The sequence below is a fragment of the Homo sapiens genome, chromosome 6, assembly GCF_000001405.40.
Source record: "Homo sapiens chromosome 6, GRCh38.p14 Primary Assembly".
NCBI lineage: Eukaryota > Metazoa > Chordata > Mammalia > Primates > Hominidae > Homo > Homo sapiens.
This window is the reverse complement of record NC_000006.12, coordinates 84,140,725-84,162,464: the sequence shown is the minus strand read 5'-3', so window position 1 is coordinate 84,162,464 and position 21,740 is coordinate 84,140,725. Positions and strand designations below refer to the sequence as shown.

The window sequence follows — 21,740 nt, the reverse complement described above, 5'->3', positions numbered from 1 at the left end:
ATGAGCTTCAGTGTAAGATATGTGCAGAGAAATCCATTCTGACCTGTTTGTAAGAAAATGACATTTGCTTCCCTTTTCCGTAAAATATAGAGTAACAACAATAATAGTAGTATCCACTGTAAAAGTTTGTTGTAGTAAATAACATAATAAATGGTAATAAGCACTCCTGAATGTTTGTCGTTGTTACTTTTTAGTATAATTATGGGCGTTCTTCATTTTTATTATTTCTTAAATCCAACATTTATTTTCCCATGGAAACAACTTTACTTTTATAATTTTAAAAAGGTTAGTGGAAAATAATTTATCAAAAATTTCTACATAGCCAACTTTGCTATATAAGGTTGACAATTTGGATTATAAACACAATCTCTTATTTCCTTTGACTAATAGATTAAGCTAGACACTATGTTGTATACATCAGTTGTTTTATGCTTCTTATTTTTTCATAATGCTGTCATTAGATGGGCATTGGTTTTCATTTAAAATCTTTTAATTTAGTTTATTTCCATATTTTGGAGAACAACAAGCAGGTTATTGAGTTACTGTATCTTATAGGTGAGAAATTATATGAAATAAAAATTTTAGAAGAAACACATAAACAAGAAATCAGTCGTCTGCAAAAAAGATTACAGTGGTATGCTGAAAATCAGGAACTTCTGGATAAAGATGCACTTCGGCTTAGAGAAGCAAATGAGGAAATTGAGAAGCTCAAACTTGAGGTAATAGATATTTCAGAATGTATTTCTTCTCTAGATGAATCCTTTTGTCCGTAATATCTGTTGTACATAACCTTTTGTCATTGCATCATTAATTAATTAAGATCTGAACTATTAATTAAGATCGGTGGTTTGCTTTTAGATATATAGTCTATTTTAAATTAGACTGAGAATAAATATAAGCTCCTTATCACAACCTGTCAGGCCCCCATGGGGTCCAAACCCTGCCTGCCTCTTCAGTGTCATCAGGTACCACACTCCCCTGAGTCACTCTTCTCCAGCCACATCAGAGCTCCTCTGATTCTTGAACATGCTGGACTCATTCCACTTGTTTTCTTGGCCTGGAATACTCTAGCTTTAGTTCTTTTTTGTCTCACTCGTACTCCTTGTTCCTCTTGGCTCAAATATCTACTCTCTAGAAAAGACGTTTCCTGACTCCCTTTCCTAATGTAGCTGCCAATCCCTCAACTTCTGGTTCTTTGTTCCTATCCCTTCACTCTGTTTTATTTTCTTCTTAGCCCTTACCACTCTGAAGTTATTTCATTTTCCCTTTGATTTACTTTATTTATTAGCTTATCAACTCTCTCCCTCTACTAGAGCATAAGCATCTTGGGAGCAGGGACTTAGTTTGTCTTGTTTGCCCTCCATATCTCCTGCCAGATCTAGGAAGTGCCTGGAACTTGGGAGGAGCTCAAAGAATTTGAGGAATTAATTCCCCAAATTTTGCTGAGGAATTAATAAATGTATGAGTGCACTAATATTATGCTTTCCCCTTGGAGCTTTTCTGTTATGTTTACATATGCTTCTTAACATGTTATTTATTTATTGACAGATTGAGAAACTGAAAGCTGAATCTGGGAATCCATCTATTCGGCAGAAGATACGCTTAAAAGATAAAGCAGCAGATGCCAAAAAAATTCAGGATCTGGAGCGACAAGTATGTGTTCAGGGTAAATTTTCATGAGCATATTTTATATATAGTGCATTTTGGTTTTCTCTTTTGTTTCAGGAGTTCCCATGAGATGGAGTTGACCTGGAAATTTTTGTTTTAAAGTATTTACATTAGTAAAAGTAATAACATCATTTTATATACCTACAGCTTTATAATTACATAATTTTTAGACTAATGTGCCTCATTCGTAAGATGGTAGACCTGTTGATAAAGGTTATTTGGTACCCTAGCTCTATTAGACATCTAGGAAGAAGGAAGTAGAATTTTGGAACTCTGGATATAGAGTTAGGATTTCTCTTCCTGACCGTAGACAGCTGAGAGAGGAGTACAGGAGGGAGATCCCTGAGTTGGGAACATGCTGGTAATGCTTGGGAAATGTTACAAAACACCCTATAAACAAAACATTCAGCTTCCCAAAGAGCTGGCCATTATCTTGAGCTCTTTCTTACCATTCAGGCTTAGAAATACTCATTTTGTGGTCAGTGTGGGAGACCTTTAATCATAAAGTGAAGCTTATTAAAATAAAGATTTTTTTATTTAAGTATTTGTTTTAGGAAGCAAGATTGTTATTTTTTTCCTTCTGTTTTTAAAACACTGTAATATAGCATTTATATTCATAACTAAATATTTTAAAACAAAATATGAATTGCCAGCCTTGTTCATAAGGGAACATGATTCTGTAGTCAAGTCATGGTACTTAGACATATGGGTATTATTCCATCATGAATCCGAAACTGTGAGGTCATTACTGGGCTGAATATTATCCCAGTTTTATGAGAAGAAGGAAAACTAAGCAAAGAATTAACTTTATTACTTTTACAAGACCTATTTTTATATTAAAAGGTATGACTGAGTAGATTGGGTCAGGGCCAAGAAAGGATCAGCCAAATGTGGTATGAAGAACTAGAAATATTTGGCCAGGCGCGGTGGCTCACGCCTGTAATCCCAGCACTTTGGGAGGCAGAGGCAGGAGAATCACATGAAGCTAGGAGTTCAAGACCAGGGTGGCCAACATGGTGAAACCCTCTCTCTGCTAAAAAATAGAAAAATTAGCCAGGCATGGTTTTAGCTGGGCTTGGTGGTGCACACCTGTAATCCTAGCTACTTGGGAGGGTGAGGCAAGAGAATCACTTGAACCTGGGAGGTAGAAGTTGGAATGAGCCAAGATCATGCCACTGTACCTCAGCCTGGGTGATGGAGCAAAACTCCATCTCAAAAAAAAAAAAAAAAAAAAAAAAAAAAAAAAAAATATATATATATATATATATATATAAATAATTAATTTTAAAAAAGAACTAGAAATATTCTGAAGTAAGTATAGTCCAGCATTGCTTGGATTTTCTTTAGTGCTAAAGACTTAGATTAGCTAATCTAAGAAGCCATCCAGAAGTGGGAGAGAAAAAAGACCAAAGGAGCTACTTCTTTATTAGATAACTTATTTTAAGAGAAATTATGTAGAATTGAATCCATATTGGCAAGAGATATACCACTTTATAAAAGTAACCTCCCTTTTGTATTAATACTTTTATTAAACAGTTCATCATCTTATATTTTTCTAAAATAGTTATCTATATAGTTGGATTGCTGCATATACATTTCAGATTGTATTTATTTAGTTTCCATGAGCATTTCTATCCTGATATTTTAAAACTTAATACATATTTTTTAATCAAGGTATATCACAATATATTCAGAATAATTATAATTAGTCTATTCTTAAATAGACTAATTATAAATTATCTATTTTTAAATAGAATATAAGTAAAAATGGGGCTAATTAGATGCATATTGTAATGAAAATTTTAGATTGTGTTTGTGCTTTTTTTATTTAATGGAATATTTCATGGTTTGATTTGCAATGAGAGTTAAAAAAAATTTACTTTGTATACCAGACTGATATTTTTGACCAAAGAATAATATTAAAAAGCAAAATTAAAGAAGATACAAATAAAATCTCATTTTTCCCAAAAAATACAGTATATATTTCAAGATATCAAAATCAGATTGAAAATATTTAATTTTTAAATGAATACATTAATTTAAAATGTTACATTTATAAAACCTAGTTCTCTTTTTACTATATTTAGTGTTGGTATGTATACATGTATTTTCATATACCTACAACTAACTCAGTTAACTAGTATCAGAGGAAACAAAGCTTTGAATTTTTCGGGTGAAAGAAATGACTAATATTTGTAGATGGATATATCCCAATTTATGATATATCAATAAATGTGCAAGCAGTTTTCACAAGTGTAAATATTTATATTAACTATGTAAATCATATGCCCCTTAAATACCTAATATGAACAGGATTTTGAGCACCAGCAAACCATCTTGCCTTAGGAGATGAAATCATCATAAAAGCCAACACTTACCAAGCCCTCACTATATGCTGGGCACTCTTAAGTGCTTAACAAGATGAAAGTCATTTGATCCTCAATTATATCAACCCTTTGAAATTGCTACTGTTACCATTCCCATCTTACCCATGAGACAAGAGAGATTTAAACTGAGGGATTAGTTGACACAAGGTCCTAAAGCTGGTGGCACAGTCTAACCCAAATATGCTCTTAACTGACACTAGACTGCCTCTCAGGCACTATTTTGTTGCATGCTCATAGGCTAGAAAACAGTTCAACAAAGAATTTAGTGTTTGTATGTTTTTCAAAGATATCTTCACCATAATAGTTTTAAAAAGCAGGTATATAGACAGGCATATATAATAAGCTGTCATTTCTGTGGACCCTGGTGTGTTTCTTTCATTATATAATATGTCATTGTTTTTTATATTAAATGAAAAGTATCCAGTCCTTTATGAAGACTTCATTAAATGTTATCTAATCCTCCTTGCTTTCCAATTAAAAGAAATCATTTTAAAGTAGATTAAACTTTATTTGGACCAGAGGATTGGAGTGGAGTAGAGCTTCCGGCAGAGTCAGGTGCTTAGGAAGCTGAATGTTTATTGCAAAAAGTTTACACACTCATGTGCATATAAGTAATTTTTCAGTCAGTAGAGTGTAGAAGCACTATCATATGAGGGAGTCTGGAAAAAAGAGGAGAGAGCTTTGTACTCAAGAGGACTGGTTATTACTAATTGAAAGTCTGAAGACATATTTCTTTTTTTTTTGAGACGTTGTCTCACCCTGTCACTCAGGCTGGAGCGCGATCCTGGCTCACTGCAACCTCAGCCTCCTGGGTCCAAGCAGTTCTCCCACCTCAGCCTCCTGAGTAGCTGGGACCACAGGTGTGTACCACCACACCAGGCTAATTTTTGTATTTTTTTAGTAGAGACAGGGTGTCACCATGTTGGCCATGGCTGGTCTGGAACTCCTGACCTCAAGTGATCCACCCGCCTTGGCTTCCCAAAGTGCTGGGATTACAGGCATGAGCCATCGCACCCAGCCCTGAAGATATATTTCTAATGAATTTAAGAGAATTTCTGTAAATAAACCCATAGGTAATTAGACAATATACTTTAAGATTTTTTCATCAGATAATCTAGGGATGTAAAATGTGAAATTAATTTGTGCTTCTGTGCATTCGATTCAATCTGGAGACATGCTATAAATATCTCCGAAATATTGACAAGTGTAGCATAATCTAAGTTTATGCATTAAATTGCTTTATTTTACATATATTTGTGACCATATATATGTTTCAAAAATTTTACTGTTTTATTTTTATAGATTTAGGGGGTACAATTGCAGATTTCTTGCAGGCATATATTGCATAGTGGTGAAGTCTGGCCTTTTAGTGTAGCCACTACCCAAATAATGAACACTGTACCTGGTAGGTAATTTTTTAGCCCTCACCCCCTCCCACCCTGCCACCTTTTGTAGTCTCCAGTGTCTGTTATTCCAGTCTGTATATACATGTGTGTACATTGTTTAGCTCCCACTTTCAAGTGAGAACATGTGGAGTTTTACTTTCTGAGTTATTTCACTTGGGATAATGGCCTCCAGTTCCATCCATGTTGCTTCAAAACATGCTTTTATTCTCTTCTATGGATGAATAGTGTGTTTGTGTGTGTGTGTGTGTGTGTGTGTGTGTCTTTTTGATACGATTTATTTTCCTTTCAATCCTAGTAGTGGAATTGCTGGATCAAGTGGTTCTCTTTTTAGGTCTTAAGAAATCTCCACACTGTTTTCCATAATGGTTTTACTAATTTATACTCCCACCAACAGTGTACACGTGTTCCCTTTTCTCCACATCCTCGCTAACGTCTGCTGTTTATTAACTTTCTAATAATAACCCTTATGACTGGAGTAAGATGGTACCTCATTGTGGTTTTAATTTGCATTTATTTGGTGATTAGTGAGGTTGAGCATTTTTTCATATTTTTTGGCCACTTGTATGTCTTTTGAAAAATGTGTGTTCGTGTCCTTTGCCCACTTTTTAATGGGGTTATTTAATTAAGTCCCATTTGTTTATTTTTGGTTTTGTTGCATTTGCTTTTGGAGACTTGGTCATAAATCCTTTGCCTGGGCCAGTGTTCAAAAGTGTTTTTCTTAGAATTTTTTCTAGGATTTTTATAGTTTCAGGTCTTAGATCTTTAAAGCATCTTGAGTTTATTTTTGTATAAAGTGAGAGGTGTGAGTTCAGTTTCATTCTTTTGCACATGACAATCCATTTTTCCCAGCACCATTTATTGAATAGGGTGTCCTTTCCCTAGTGTATTTTTTTGGTGACTTTGTCCAAGATCAGTTGATTGTAGGCATGTGGCTTAATTTTTGGGTTCTCTATTCTGTTCCATTGATCTATGTGTCTATTTTTATCAGTACTGTGCTGTTTTGGCTGCTATAGCCTCGTAGTACAATTTGAAGTCAGGTAGTGTGATACCTCCAGCTTTGTTCTTTTTGCTTAGGATTGCTTTGGCTATTCAGCCTCTTTTTTGGTTCCGTATGAATTGTAGGATTGGTTTTTCTAATTCTGTGAAAAATGACTTTGGTAATTTGATAGGGATTGAATTGAATTTGTAGATTGCTTTAGGCAGTATGGTCATTTTAACTACACTAATCCTTCCAGTCTATGCACATGGGATGTTTTTCTATTTGTTTGTGTCACGGTTTTCTTTATCAGTGTTTGTAGTTCTCCTGGCAAACATCCTTCACCTTCTTGGTTAAATATATTCCTAGGTAGTTCTTGATTTGGTCCTCAGCAAGATTGTTATTGGTATATAGAAATGCTACTGTATACAGAGATTTCTGTAGATTGTATCCTGAAACTTTACTGAATTCATTTATTAAATCTAAGTGTTCTTTGGTGGAAAATATGTTTTAATAGGTTAAGGAAATGGAAGGGATTCTGAAGAGAAGATATCCCAATTCTTTACCTGCTTTAATATTGGCTGCATCAGCAGCTGGTGATACAGTGGATAAAAATACAGTGGAATTTATGGAGAAAAGGATAAAAAAGCTAGAAGCTGATCTGGAGGGCAAAGATGAAGATGCAAAGAAAAGCCTTCGTACCATGGAACAACAGTTTCAGAAAATGAAGGTAAGTGGTAAGTAGCCTCAGAGATAAAGGTCAGAGATGAACAATGGGGGCAGGCACTTCTTAGGATCTCACTTTAACAAATAGCTATAAACATTCTTTCCCATGAAACCTTTACCACTGGTATCAATAGGTGCAAAAGAAACCAAGTGCATCCTATTTTGGTGTCGTCTTTCAGCAACTTTTCTATTTCTGACAGAGTAATCAAGCACAGGATAATCTTTACATCATCTCTCTCAATATGAGAATTAGTGGAAATTAAGTCATGAAAAAGCAGAATAAAACACACCTGATATGTATCCAGTACAAAAGGAAAAAAGAAATTACCATGTTTGAAAATATTTTCACTGAAATTTATCTAGAGAAGGGTAAGGGAATAAGACAGAAGTATACATTTTAGGAACAGCGGGTAGGGGAGCATCTTCCAGAAATGTCTTACTTTCTGAGTTTTCCATTATTTTGTGAAACAGGAATGAATCAGAAAATACAAGTGCTAGAACAGACCAAGTATGAAACAGGACATATTTAATTTACTTTAAAAAAAATTTTGTAGACAAATAACAGTTATAGATTATTTTTAAAAATTTGTTGAGCACGTGTCTGTCAGGAATTCATGCTAGATACTTTCATAAATATCTCTGTTCATCTTGCATAATCCTTCCAAACACCTGTGAGGAGTAGATACTGTTAACACTATTTTGCAGATGAAGGAGCTGAGATGTTCTAGGAAGCTCATTTCATTTCCCACATATTTATATCCCGAGAAAAGCAACAAATGACAGAACATTAGATTCCAGAAACAGTAGAAGGTTGATAACCTGGAAATACAGTGGCCTGTTAATTAAGGTCACATCAAGGAGGTTGGGTTTCTTCTATTCCACCCTGTTTTACAGATAGATACATAGATAGATAGATAGATAGGTAGATAGATAGATAGATAGACAGACAGACAGACAGACAGACAGACAGATAGATAGATAGATAGATATCCCTGATAACATGTCTGGAGTCTAGCAAACAATTAATGATTATAATTATTATTAGTGTTCCACCAACTAAATAAGACTGTCAGGTGTAAACTCCAACCCGCTACTGCACTTTTATGTATCTAAATCTAAACACCCTAACTTGTTTCTTTTTGCAGCCCCCTGCCCCATCCCACTCCTGCCTTTGCTTACTACTTGTCTCTTCCCCCTTTCATTTCTGATTCCCTGTATATACCAAACATTCAGCCAGCTTTGCATATGCTCTTCCTACTTCCAAAACATCCCTGACTCCACCTAACCCCAAATTAACAGTCATCTCTCAAGACCGAACATAAATGTGCTATCTCTGTGCAGTCTTCCCACCTTCTGTCAAGCCTCCAGACACTTAGGGCAGCGTCGCCTCCTCTGCACTCACTGCACTATGTTCACAGGCCCATTATTTTACTTGTGGGACGTTGTAGCTGCTGCCATGTTGCTCTCCTCACCAAGCTGTGAGCTATTTGAAAATAATAACTGAGTCTTTTTGTTGCTAGAACCTGCATGTTGCTTGGCATAAGGTCATAACTTGGTAAATATCCATTGAATGAATGAGCAAACACTGCTCGTGCCTCCCTCCGTAGGAGAAATTATTTATTTCATTTGCTGAATACTAAACAAAATATTAAAGCTCCAGTATACAAATTCCAGGCCATTTTACTCTCTATGAAAGTAATAAATTGATGTTAGAAGGTTGAAAATGTGCTGTTTCCCGAAGACTTCAGTGCCCCCAGTTGCTTTACTGTTTATCCTCGAAGAGTGTGTTGACAGTTTGCATGGAGAAGACTGCATAATAATAGGTTTTATTGTGAGATTTAAAATAAATTTTGGAGTGTGTAAGAACATATGTAAGTTAATAGTTATGAAGCAACATATCAATTATTAAATAACATAACATATATCAAGAATATATAATGTTATGCCCTGAAAGACTAGGACTTCAATACATTTGACTCACTCAAGAAACAGAATTGTAGACATCAGAATGTATAATGAGTACCTGAATAAAGGATTAGGTAGGACCCAGTAGTGTGCAGGGCTTCAGCAACTAATGAAACGTTTAACAGGTGTTTGGCATTACATGGATTCTTTCCTTCAGATTCAGTATGAACAAAGACTAGAGCAGCAGGAGCAGCTACTTGCCTGCAAATTGAATCAACATGACTCTCCCAGAATTAAAGCCCTAGAGAAGGAACTTGATGACATCAAGGAAGCCCATCAGATCACTGTAAGAAACCTTGAAGCCGAAATAGACGTTCTTAAACATCAGAATGCTGAATTAGACGTCAAGAAAAATGATAAAGATGATGAAGATTTTCAGTCTATAGAATTCCAGGTGGAACAGGCTCATGCTAAAGCTAAATTAGTAAGACTCAATGAAGAACTGGCTGCAAAAAAGAGAGAAATACAAGACCTCTCAAAAACTGTGGAGAGGCTTCAGAAAGACAGAAGAATGATGCTATCAAATCAGAACTCAAAGGGCAGAGAGGAAATGTCTGCCAAAAGGGCAAAGAAAGATGTTTTGCACTCAAGTAAAGGAAATGCTAACTCCTTCCCTGGAACCCTGGACAGCAAGCTGTACCAACCACATACTTTCACTGATTCCCATGTTTCAGAAGTTTTACAAGAAAACTACAGATTAAAAAATGAGCTAGAAGGATTAATTTCAGAGAAGAATGAACTGAAGATGAAATCTGAAGCAGTGATGAATCAATTTGAAAACTCCATGAGAAGGTAAAATGTTAAATTATTTATAAATATTTGTAAAAATAAAAAGATAAAAATAGAAAAATTATACGATATATTTCCTCCAGATAATTAGTTTGACCCCGAACTGAATTCATAAGTGAATATTAATAAATTATATTATATTGCTGAGCATGTGTCTGTTTCAGGATAGGGTCTTCTACCTGCTGGTGGCCCAAATTCTGATGTACCTGAACATCTGTGTCAACCCAAATTGTGTCCTTGGGCTCGCCAGTCTTGCCTTTTGGCATGTACCCAAATGGTATTAATAAGCTGACTCTTTGGGCTCTTCTAGCAAAGGAATGTCATAGTTTATTATTGCTATAGACAGATTGCTTTCAGAAAACAGTTATTGTTAAAGCTAGTTGGCAGTCTAAAAGGAAAAGGTCCTCTTTTCAAAAATAACTCTTCAAATTGACCTTGTGATCACATCCATTCATGCCTTAAGGAACTTTATACTCATCCATTTCCTTCTCACTATCTCCATTTGCTATCCACTGTCTCTTTCCTCTGAGTCTTTTGACATCCTCAGATCTTTTTTTCACCTGATCAGGTTCCAATCCAATCCTGTCTTTTAGCACCCGTTTTTCACAAATAGTATTTTCTTTTATTTCTATCTCACTTCCTCTTAAATATGGCTCTCATCATCACCCTTTTTAAACCTGGTCTCAATAATGAGCTTTCCCAGTCCAGGGGCATTTTCTCCTTCCTCATTTTCTTCAACAATGTTGACCACACTACTTTTCCTGAAATGGCTTCTCCCCTTAACCTCTGTGGCTTGGCTGCTCTGACCAAAACTCCTTTTCTGTTTCTTTTACTGAATTCTGACCCTTCTTCCTTCTCCATCCCCAAAAATCTGGCTTTCTACCAGCATTCAGCTCTTAGTTTTCTGTTTATTCTCTGTTCTTTCTCTGTTGCTAAACTTACCCATTCTTACGGTTTCTGTGAACCATGACTTCTAGATTTACTTTTAAAGTCTTGTTCTCTTTGCTGAGTTCAGATGTGAAACCTAGAACTATTTATTGGATTGCTTCTCTTGGAATCACTAATACCTCAAGTTTCCTTTTTTTACCTGTAAATTAGTTCCCCTTCCCAAGCTCCCCTTCCCTGTCTATATTTATTTTAATTACCAGCCCAGCTTTATCTCTGTTATTCCTTGGGTATAAATGTTTCCCATTTTCCAGTCTTCCTTACTTTTATAAACCAGTGCTGCCATTATACAATTTTCCCACTCCAATCTTCCTTTTTTTTAACCTTCCCCAGTCATCTTGCTTAAAAATCATTAATATTCTTTAAATACTCATATACCTGGGTCACTCTGCTCTCCGGTGACTCTCAACTTCCTTAAATATCAAGACTAAATTTCTCTGCCTAGCATCTCAAGTCTCATCACTATTCTAATACTACTCTACTTACCTAATCTGTCACATTTCCTCATGCCTTTTCCTCATTCTTGTTATAAGTACTACCTTCACAAAACATTTCGTGGAACTTCCCAGGAAATTGCCTTCTCCTACCCCCAACTCCTACATAACTTACTAATATGTACCAAGAAAGGATTAATCATACACAGCCTTGTAGTTCCTTGAGAACTGGTGTAAGATTATGCTGCTTTTGCATCCCCACAGCAATGTGCTGTAGGAGGAGAATGAGCATGGGAAACACCCAACAAATGCTTATTGACTGGCAGCCATGGCAGTGAGTGAGTCATGTTGTTACCATATGGCAGTCATATTGCTACCAAATGGAAAGCTTGTTTCTTAAGTCCTGAATATTATGACAGTAGCATGAAGCTCTTTAAGAAGAATCACATTTTTTCCAGGAAAGAATTTAAAATTCAGGTTTTCCAATTAATTTTCCTGTACATCATTTAAAATTTGTTAATATTGTCAATCTGTTTCTTAGATAAGTCTGGGCCTGAGAAGTGAAGAATAAACTTTTCTAGTCCAATATTTAGACTTTTTACTATCATTCAGTTATATGTGCTTTAATTTAGGTTTTTATGCTTTTTCTAGGACCCTACTCACACTGTTTCCATGGAGAAATATTCATATGGTGAAATAAGCAATGGATAAATTTGTCTATAGTTGGGAAGCACCATATTAATATATAGCAACAGCAGTTTACTAAAATACATGCTTTAAGTTAAATGCTGTTATTTTCAAAGTCTTTCCAATAAGAGAGAAAATGTTTATCTGTAGGAAATATACCAAATCTTTATTTATAATTTTAACCATTTACTGAACTGCCTCTGAATAAATTTTATCACAGAGACAAATGAATAGTCTTTCACACTTACAGTCCAATTAATTAATTGCATATTACAAGCATAATATGTCCTGAGAATTACCATAAAGATTGTCTCATTCTCACAATATGCAACTAGCCCTGGAGTCTCATGCATGGGTTGAAAATTGGTTAATGCTGCCTACAAGGCATTGGAGATTCTAAAGGGAACAGCTGTGATTTTCCAAAGAAGCATCTGGGCAAGAAATCTGAGTTTATCTTAAAAGATCAAATGTCAAGTGCTTTGCTTTTGGAACCCTAGATTCCCTCAGAAAGTGTAGCCTCAGGTTGGGGTAAAGTAGAGATATATCACTATTTCCTCAAGTTTGCCCTTATAAAATTCAGTAAATAGTAGCTCATGGATTGGTCATAAGAACTCATAGGCAGTAGTAATGTATAAAGCACCTAACACAGTGCAGTTAATATTGGTGCCCATTTTCCCCTTGCTTAATTCCCAGGTTTCTTCTACTGTTTTTGTGCTAACTCTGAATTAGAGGTTGAAGAGCCACTTTTATGTGTGGTTTTCTTTCATTTGCTCTGTAGGGTCAAGGAAGATACTGCAGCACACATTGCATCCCTCAAAGCATCTCATCAGAGAGAAATAGAGAAACTCCTTTGCCAAAATGCAGTAGAAAATTCTTCTTCCAAAGTAGCTGAACTAAATCGTAAAATAGCAACTCAAGAGGTAGATGACAAATCTGTTTTATCTTTTGACTTGAATAAACTCGTTTTGACTTTAATGAGATTAAAGTTAACATTGTTTTATTTGGAAATGTTTTAACTTTTTCAGCTTGGTGATAGAAATGGGAAACTATTATTGGCTTGATTTCTTTTTTAAAGAAGATAATACTATATATTTAATTTTTTTAAAGAAGATAATACTATATATTTAATTTTTCTACTTTAAAACTACACCATATAAATAAATATTTTTACAGTTTGTCCCTATACTTCTCAAATAAGTCTCTAAATTTGTCACAGGTGGTGAGGTATATGTCTAACATGATTAGGACCCTAGTACTTGAACTTGGATGTTGAACCGAGTCCCCAAGTCCCAGCTGACAGTTATCCTTAGGCATTCTTCCTGCCCCATGACCTTTTATTAACAAATAATGATTCAGGTCAATAGACAATCAGGCACTGGAATAAAATAATGAAAAGAGAGATACACAGCTCTTGCTCTGATGGAGCATAGTCTTCTAAGAATTATTATAGGGAATGCTGCCAACTCATCAGCATTTCCTCAAATAAATGTGTCTTCCTTTTTGAAAAATAGGTATATCTACTTAGAATATCTATGAGCATTACCATGTGGCCTGTCTTCTGTACTGTTTGTCACTTATAAAAATAGCATTAAAATAGGACTTTTATCTACAATCTACTTTCAAATGGTATATCCAAGAAAAAGAAAAAGGTGGCAAATCAGCCACCTTTTGGGTTATCAAGTTGAAAAATATATGAATGTTTATTGTGTTCATCTTGTCTGTAGGCTTCAATTTTAAGAAAGAAGGTCAGGGAGAAAAACATCAAGAAAGAATTATCTCACCAAGTGTAATTATTTAATACCATCTTAATTAAAAATAAATTCCTCAATTCGGGAAGTTTGAATATGGACTGGCTATTAGATACTAAGAAATTACTATAAATTTTCTTAGGTATAAAATGTTATGGTTTTGTGAGAAATGCCCTTATTCTAAAGAGATGTATGTTGAAGCATCTGAAGGTTTTGTTTCTTTGAGACAGTCTCCTTCTGTCACCCAGGCTGTCTCAGCTCACTGCAACCTCTGCCTCCCAGGTTCAAGCGATTCTTCTGTCTCAGCCTTCCAAGTAGCTGGGATTACAGGTGCACGCCACCATGCCTGACTAATTTTTATATTTTTGGTAGAGATGGGGTTTCACCATGTTGGCCAGGTTGGTCTCGAACTTCTGACCTCAAGTGATCCACCCACTTTGACCTCCCAAAGTGGCATTTGAAGTATTTAGGGGCAAAATGTAATGAAGTCTGTAACTTAACTTCAGATCGCTGAGAAAAAAAAGGACTATTTGACTACGTTAATGAAAAATACTTAAAGTGCCTTTCGTAAGTAACAATCCATACAGCCTTACAGAGAACCTCTCTGGCCTTATCCTCCATAGGAATAGGGTGTCAGAGGGCAACTATAAGCATTCTATCAAGTGATTTTGTATTAAGGAATAGTCTGGAAGAGGTAGGAAAAGTAGTATCATGATGCCATAGTGCCATAAATGTTATTTTCCCAGCGTTATAAATGTAATATTGTAAAATTGAGTTAAAGAGAAATCAGCATAGTCTGATCATTAAAAATACAGCATTAGAGATAAGATAAATTTTTCCCAATTTCTCTTAGTTTCTTGATGGAAGTATCTGTTCATATATTTCAGTTTACCTAAAGATATGAGACTGACATTTATTTCACAGATATTATGAGGCTTATGTTATATTTAAGCCATAGTTCTTAAATAAAAACTATCATACTTAACCACAGAGTATAAAGATAATATTGTCTACCTTTTTCCAAATGTGTAGACTTTATAGAGCTTTATTTTAAAAGGACTTTTTCTAGTCATGAAAAATGTTCATATTTATTTTCCCCCCCTTTTATTGATATATAATGATTTAGATATTTATAGGATACATGTGAGTGTTTGCTACATGCAAAGAATGTGTAATAATCAAGTCAGGGTAATTGGGATTTCTGTCACCTTGAGTGTTCATCATTTTTATGTCTTGGTATCACTTCAAACTCTCTCTTCTAGTTACCGTGAAATACACATAATATTGTTGCCAAGTACAGTCACCCTGGTCTGCTATTAAACATTAGAACTTATTTCATCTATCTAACTGTATGTATGTTTGTACCCATAACCAACCTCTCTTCATCCTTCCCAACCCCCCACTCCCATCTCTGGTATCTATTGTTCTATTCTCTGTGTTCATGAGATCAAGTTTTTTAGCTCTCATACATGAGTGAGAACATGCAGTATTTTTCTGTGCCTAGCTTACTTCACTTAACATAATGACCTTCAGTTCCATCCATTTAACTGCGTATGACATTATTTCCCTCTTATTTAAGGCTGAATTGTATTCCATTGGGTATATATATCACATTTCTTTTCGTCTGTTGATGGGAACTTAGATTGATTCCATATCTTTGCTATTGTGAATAGTGCTGCAATAAACATGCAAGTGCCAGGTGTCCGTTTGATATACAAATTTCTTTTCCTTTGGATAGATACCCAGTAGTGGGATTGCTAGATAATACGGTAATTCTATTTTTAGTTTTTTGAGAAATCTCTATAATTTTTTTCCATAGTAGCTGTGCTTACTTACATTCCCACCAACAGTATATAAGAGTTCCCTTTTGTGAGTTGGCTTTCTTATATTTTTCAGATAGTGTTCAAGGAGGAGCTTTATTAACTCAGCACTTCTAACAATTTCCTAGGTACTTATAAGACATTTCCAAAGTCAAGTTAATGAGCTGCAGAGTAAACAAGAGTCTCTCGTAGTTTCTGAAGTTCGAGAAGAAATTCTACAGAAAGAGGTAAGAAATGGCCAAAATATTGGGCTAAAATAAGTTTTTCTTAGGCATTTCAATCATATTCATATTTATAAATTTTTTACCTAAATGTACAAATAGATATAACCTGAAAGTATCACGTCAAGAAAATATTAGCAGCGTGCTTATGTAAAATCTGCTTTCCCCAGGTGAAGTTCAGATATTAAGTCATTAAGTTGTCTATGTTTTATTTGCTGTTGAGATTTTGTGGGTAGTGGGGAAAATGGGACGGGAGATGTTTGGGTTTTCTGTTTGTTTTCTTCAGGAGACAAAATTGAATAGTGAAGTCCATTTCTGTGTTAAGTAAAGTACTGTCAGGGAGGAAAAATAATTTTTTCCTCAACCCTCATGAGTTTTTAGTTGAGACAGACCCCATAACAAAAGACAGATTAATAAGAGAAAAACAAGTTTATTAATACGTGCAGCACACAATGCAGGAGAAACCACAACACAAAGTAACTCAAAATGGTGGCTTAGAACTCTCCAAGTTGGTAGCTTTGAAGAGATTTGGATTAGAGATTGTGAGATCAGGGATTGGCAAAGGAAGAGGAAAACATAGATTGGAACAAGTGCAGCTGAACAAATTTAAGTACATTGCCCCATATCAAATCATTGTCTTAGTGCTGAGAATAGGTCAATTCAATTAAGCAGTTGTGTCTCATTTCAGGAGATATTGCAGGTGAGCTCTCATCAAAGTTAGGCCTCTATATGGTGATCTAATAAGAGGCATTTCTATGGAAACAAAAGAAAAACAAAAGTTAATGGTAGGAGTAGTCTGTATACTAATTTCTGAATCTAAGAGCAGCTAGTCAAGAGTTCTAGATGTTGGGCTCAAAGCATTTTTTACAGTTTGAGTATGTCTAGTTATAAGACACGCAGCAATAGGCATGAAAATTGTCCGTATATTAGCTGTTGTGGTGACTCTCTGCAGTTTATATCAAGTCATTCAGCTTCAGCTTATTAAGATTTCAGGAAAAGGGCAGTTAAATGTTTTAGTGATTCCAAGGCAGGAGGGTAGGAGAAAAATTTGAAATACTAGTTTGGAGAATTATAGACAGAGATCTAGACCAGATTACATGTAAATAACAAAACCCCAGAGATAAAAAAACAAGGCTAGAATCTGATATCTACAAGGGTGTGTTACAGTTTTCTAATGAAGCACAGTATTTTTCTCTCTGCAGTCACCCTCATTTCTATCAGAGATAATCACAATAAGACCAATGGCAAAAATAAGTCTAGTCTCATTAAACTTGGCTTGGTTATTTGCATAAAAAGTGCAGCAAGAATAGTGATTAATCATATAGGCTCTTTTATAAGTCTGTTTTGCTGGAACTTTTAATAAGGATTCTCAGATTGGCCCTTTATTGGCATCTCCAGGCTAGAAACGCATGCCAAAGGCTTGCCATCAGATTTTGCCTGCAATACCAATAGATCCAGGTAAATTCCTTTCTCTTCTAGAGATCCCCCAAATATTGTGAGGCTCCTGGGCTTGCCAGGAAGTGACATTTCTTACTCATCTATAAGGAAACCTCGTATGTAAGGTACCAAGCCAGTTTTTTCCAAGGGACTTTATTGGCGTCAGAAAGTCAATGTATTTTTTTAAGTTGTCCGATTATATCTGATTCCATGCACATTCTGAAATATGACATTCCAATCAAAGCCTTGATAGTATAACTGATGTTTCCAGTTGTGTTACAAAGAGAACAGATTCTTACTGAACTTATGCAAATATTTATGTCCCTGTGAAAATAAGAATACTCAGCTAATGGTTTCTGGAGAGATAGAGGAAAAAAAGATAAATATTTCAATTCTGTTTACAAAAGTATAATTTACCAAATTGCTCTAAGCTATGGATAGCTTAAGAGAAAAAGTTCTCTACAGAATATTAAAGAATCAGCAGTGTTTTAAACAGACAGTCCCTAAAAAGAATTCTTCATCAGTTTACTTAGTCCCATGTAATTAATTCTTGTTCTGCTTGATGTTGGGTTAGCACTTCTGTGAACCAATCAATCTTTTCATTAGAATTCTGAAAAATTCTTACCTGGCCAAATGGTATGATCTTGAAGTTATCAGAAGCCTGTATTTGTCAGAGTGCTTTCCATGAATCTTTCTGAAGAAAAACACTTTGTATTTATAGTTGCTTACAAAAGCTCTTAGGAAAGTAACAGTAAAACAATTAACTATCTGTGGATGATAAGACTTTAAACTAGCCATAGTTAAACATCTGATGAGAGTTCATTATAATGCACTTGATATGGAAATTTGGTTATTTTTGTGACAATACAACATTAAGATATTAACTAGCATTATTACTGATAACATCATACCAAGACATACCAGATTTTTAGGAATTGTATACAACTTCTGGAACATTTGTTAATAACGTATCCATACAAAAATAACTCAAAGAAGATTAAACATTGTCTTTATTTGACAATGATTCCTGTACAATTTATCACGTCAAATAAGCCTAATTACTTTGACATCTCTATTTGTAAAAGGAGAAAGAACATTCTTTTGAGATTTTCCAGGGCCCTCTGGAACATCCCAAAGCTAGTTTGAGGTCAAAATAATTTATAATTTGATTTGAGGAAGTTGTCAAAAATATCAAAAAGTTTAAAACATTTGATTAAATAGGATCACAGGTCATTATGAAACAATACTTAGTTATCCAAAGTGATTATTAAAAGATTCTAAAGGCAAATACAGAAAGTCGCATAGTGAGAAAACTCAGTTTTCCTAAGTAATCAAAGAACTGATAGAGACCATAGGAAACACAGGAAGTTATTTTACTAAAACACAAAATCTTTGCTTTCTACATAAATTAACTTAAAGGTAAAGAAAATCTTTTATAATCTCTTATCAAGAGCAGACCGATGCTCCAAGAAAGCTTTGTTGTTTTAAGAGAGAAAACCAGTTTCTAGTTTTGTCCACTGTACTTTTGACATTAAGGCTCATTTTTAAAACTCTTAAAATAAACATATTCTGTTTTAGACAGCTTAGACACACAAGATATTCGTGCATTCTCACTTTCTCTTTCTCTCTCCTTCTGCAAGCTTCTACATTCATTCATTTTTTTGTTCTTCGTTCTCCTTTTTCATTATAAAACAGTCTGTCATTCTACTTTAGTACAGATTTAATTATTTTTTCCCTTAACGAAAACACATCTTCATTCCTCATAACTTTGCTTACCAAAACTACATCTTATTTTCCTTGTATATTTTGCATACAAAGTTGTTTCCCTTATCTTTAGTAGTTTTAAATATATGTATATTAGAACTTTTAATCCTTAGTAACATTAATTTCTTATGAAAACTACAAAGCAGCCATGACCTGTCATATACCAACATTTTGTAGATTAACATCATTTCATGACTTCTAGAAGCATATTTTTATAGTTTTCTTAATGTGACAATAAGAACAGGTGATTTGTTTCTCTGTAAAATTTAAGAAGCCAAGGTAGATAAGGTTATGTTCAGCAATATGAGTCTGTGAAACATAAGTTAATGTTTCAGTATATTTGGAAATGATCTAGATATTCAGTGACTATTTATTATTTAACTTAGCAAAACCCCAAGGATGTAAGCTATACCAAAGAGATTTGGGTAACTAATTTTTTTTTACAAACATAAAACATAGTAATTATTGAAGACTTTATAAATTTTATCCCACTAATATTTACTTAATGTACTTGTTATTAACAATTATGCTTGGATTGCTTATGAAAATTCATGAGCCATTAAACATCTAGTCATCATCTTATTTTACTGTTAACTATTTTTACAACACATGCAGGTTAGGCAAGCAGCACAAGAACTCAAAAGTTAAATACATGTTTTTCTTTTCCTGCTGTGCTTAATATACATGGAATAATGGATACTGTACTTCGACTTGCACGTTTGATTTGGGGATGAACTCCTAGGTCTTTAATTTTAAATGTCTAGCAGAGATACTTATTTGATTAGTAAACCCAGGTAGCATAAGGGTTGTATGTCTGCATTATACTTACTGTTGACAACTCTGAAGTCATGCCTATTTTTATTAAATCAGTAATGTTAAACTAATCATATCCCAGATTTACCTGAGACACATGAACTTGAAAACCATTTGGGTTAGTTTCTATACTTCTGAGAGTTTTTGGAATTCTTAATTTGTGTAAGTGCTTCTTTTTCTGTAAGCCAATTAAATAGTGCTCTTTTATGAATTACTTTTGACAATACCGTCCAAAGGTAGAAAAAAAATGTATACGTATATACACACACACATACACATAGATGTACATAAACATAGACAGATGCAGAGATCATATAGCTTTCATTTTAAAGTTTTAGCCATGAGACAGGCACAATAATATAAAACTCGCTAATTTGTAAAAGAATAGTTGAATGCAAATTGTGTATTTGGCAGATAGAATAAATTAAGGTTACCTGTTTAGCTGGCCAAACTTTTTACTGGTATTTCTGAGGAAGACTTAAAATTTTTCATTTGCCCTTTGCAGATAATCTTATGGAGGGTATGGATGAAATTTGGGGTAAAGGAGTTTTTATAGCAGTGTGTTTAAAAAAACAAAAACAAACTCTTCTCCCTCTGGGCTGCCTTTTTTTCTTTAGTCTCAAATGTATGTGGGGGTTGTTTTAGTTAACTCCTTGAAGGTTTAAATTTCAAAGACATGGTGAGATTCACATCTCTGAGAGACTGAGAAAGGACGGAAGTTTTCTCCAAGAAGGCATTTTAGGGCATATTTGCCTATTATGAAAGATCCAGGGTATTTTTTTTTAAGTTTTTCTTTTCCTTGAGCACAGGACAGTCTTAAGGAATATTTTTGTAATGGAGGCCCAAAATATAAGAAGGCCTGGAGCTGAAGGAGTTGATGATGGAGCTCTGGAAAGTAGGTGGAGTGTAGGTACAGCAAAGCCAGCCTGGCTGCCAGTTCCCTGAGACAGTGTTCTGTTTATCTCCTGGTTGGCAGTATTTACACAAGTAACCTATACACCCCGGCCCTGGATATCAGGCTGGAGTACTTTCTGTAAATCTTTCAGAGGAAGGCAAGTTAGTAGGCAGCTGGGCATTTAAAAGATTTCCTGGGGAAGTTGGAGGAGTTTTAGGATTAAAGGAATTTGTTCAGAGGTTGAGACTGGATTTTGAGGAAAGATGTTTAAGTCAGGGACCCAGAGATCGGAAGATCTTCTGGTAGATCAACATCAGGCAGTTGGGAGTAAAGGAGACTATAGGTAGGTAAGGAGGAATTTATAGCAGATGTAGATGTTAACGTTGGTCTTAAGTCTAGTCTGACTTTTGTTTGTTTGCTTAGACTAGACTTGACACTCTTTTATGCCCTCTTTTAAATTTTATTTTACCATAAGTACCAGTAAGACATTTGTTTTGAATGAATGCTCCCTTTAAAATTGAAAAAAAAAATCATTTTTTGATATAAAAACTCAAATCTTTAAAGGTATACCCATTTTAATGTGATTCTAGACCAGGGGTCCCCAACCCTGGGCCACAAACCAGTACCAGTTCATGGCCTGTTAGGAACCAGGCCTCTCAGCAGATGAGCAGGGGGCGAGTGAGCATTACTGCCTGATCTCCGCCTCCTGTCAGATCAGTGGCGGCATTAGATTCTCATAGGAGCGTGAACCCAATTGTGAACTGCACATGCAAGTGATCTAGGTTGTGGGCTTATATAAGAGAATCTAATGATAAATGTGATGAGCTTGAATCATCCCAAAACCATCCTCCCTCTTTCCGTGGAAGAATTGTCTTCCACAAAACCAGTCCCTGGTACCAAAAAGTCTGGGAACTGCTGCTCTAGACCAGTAAGCTATTTTTATGGTTTAAAACAAGTCAGCCAGGCAAAGTGACTCACGCCTGTAAATCCTAGCATTTTGGGAGACTGAGGTGAGAGGATCTCCCAAGGCCAGGAGTTTGAAACCAGCCTGGGCAATAT

At 35.0% G+C, this 21,740-nt stretch overlaps 2 protein-coding genes across 10 annotated transcripts in view, besides 1 other annotated feature; one reads left to right on the top strand and one right to left on the bottom strand.

The window, feature by feature from the left end:
* CEP162 (centrosomal protein 162) overlaps window positions 1–21,740 on the top strand; it is a 103,394-nt gene that overhangs the window by 65,179 nt on the left and 16,475 nt on the right. For 8 of the 9 annotated variants that reach the window (XR_007059227.1, XM_005248674.5, NM_001286206.2 and 5 more), the window contains 6 exons: window positions 556–719; window positions 1,549–1,653; window positions 6,955–7,167; window positions 9,286–9,920; window positions 12,762–12,903; window positions 15,680–15,778. Coding sequence is in view for 8 of the 9 variants with exons in the window: in XM_005248674.5 (XP_005248731.1) it covers window positions 556–719; window positions 1,549–1,653; window positions 6,955–7,167; window positions 9,286–9,920; window positions 12,762–12,903; window positions 15,680–15,778 (1,358 nt within the window). In the remaining variant the exon portion in view is untranslated. Of the gene's footprint in view, window positions 1–555; window positions 720–1,548; window positions 1,667–6,954; window positions 7,168–9,285; window positions 9,921–12,761; window positions 12,904–15,679; window positions 15,779–21,740 lie in introns of those variants that run through there. The other variant, XM_047418388.1, reaches the window with a different exon arrangement.
* MRAP2 (melanocortin 2 receptor accessory protein 2) overlaps window positions 16,183–21,740 on the bottom strand; it is a 113,105-nt gene continuing 107,547 nt past the window's right edge. The window contains exons 5-6 of the mRNA XM_017010221.3: window positions 17,835–17,903; window positions 16,183–16,525 (exon numbers count right to left, since the gene is read on the bottom strand). Of these exons, the coding sequence (XP_016865710.1) occupies window positions 16,510–16,525; window positions 17,835–17,903 (85 nt within the window). The 3' untranslated portion in view covers window positions 16,183–16,509. The remainder of the gene's footprint in view (window positions 16,526–17,834; window positions 17,904–21,740) is intronic.
* Window positions 20,628–20,828: a silencer, noted in NCBI's record as "peak5934 fragment used in MPRA reporter construct". NCBI's record gives its function as "represses an SCP1 promoter by STARR-seq MPRAs in K562 erythroleukemia cells {active_cell/tissue: K562}" and the evidence as "EXISTENCE:reporter gene assay evidence [ECO:0000049][PMID:32103011]".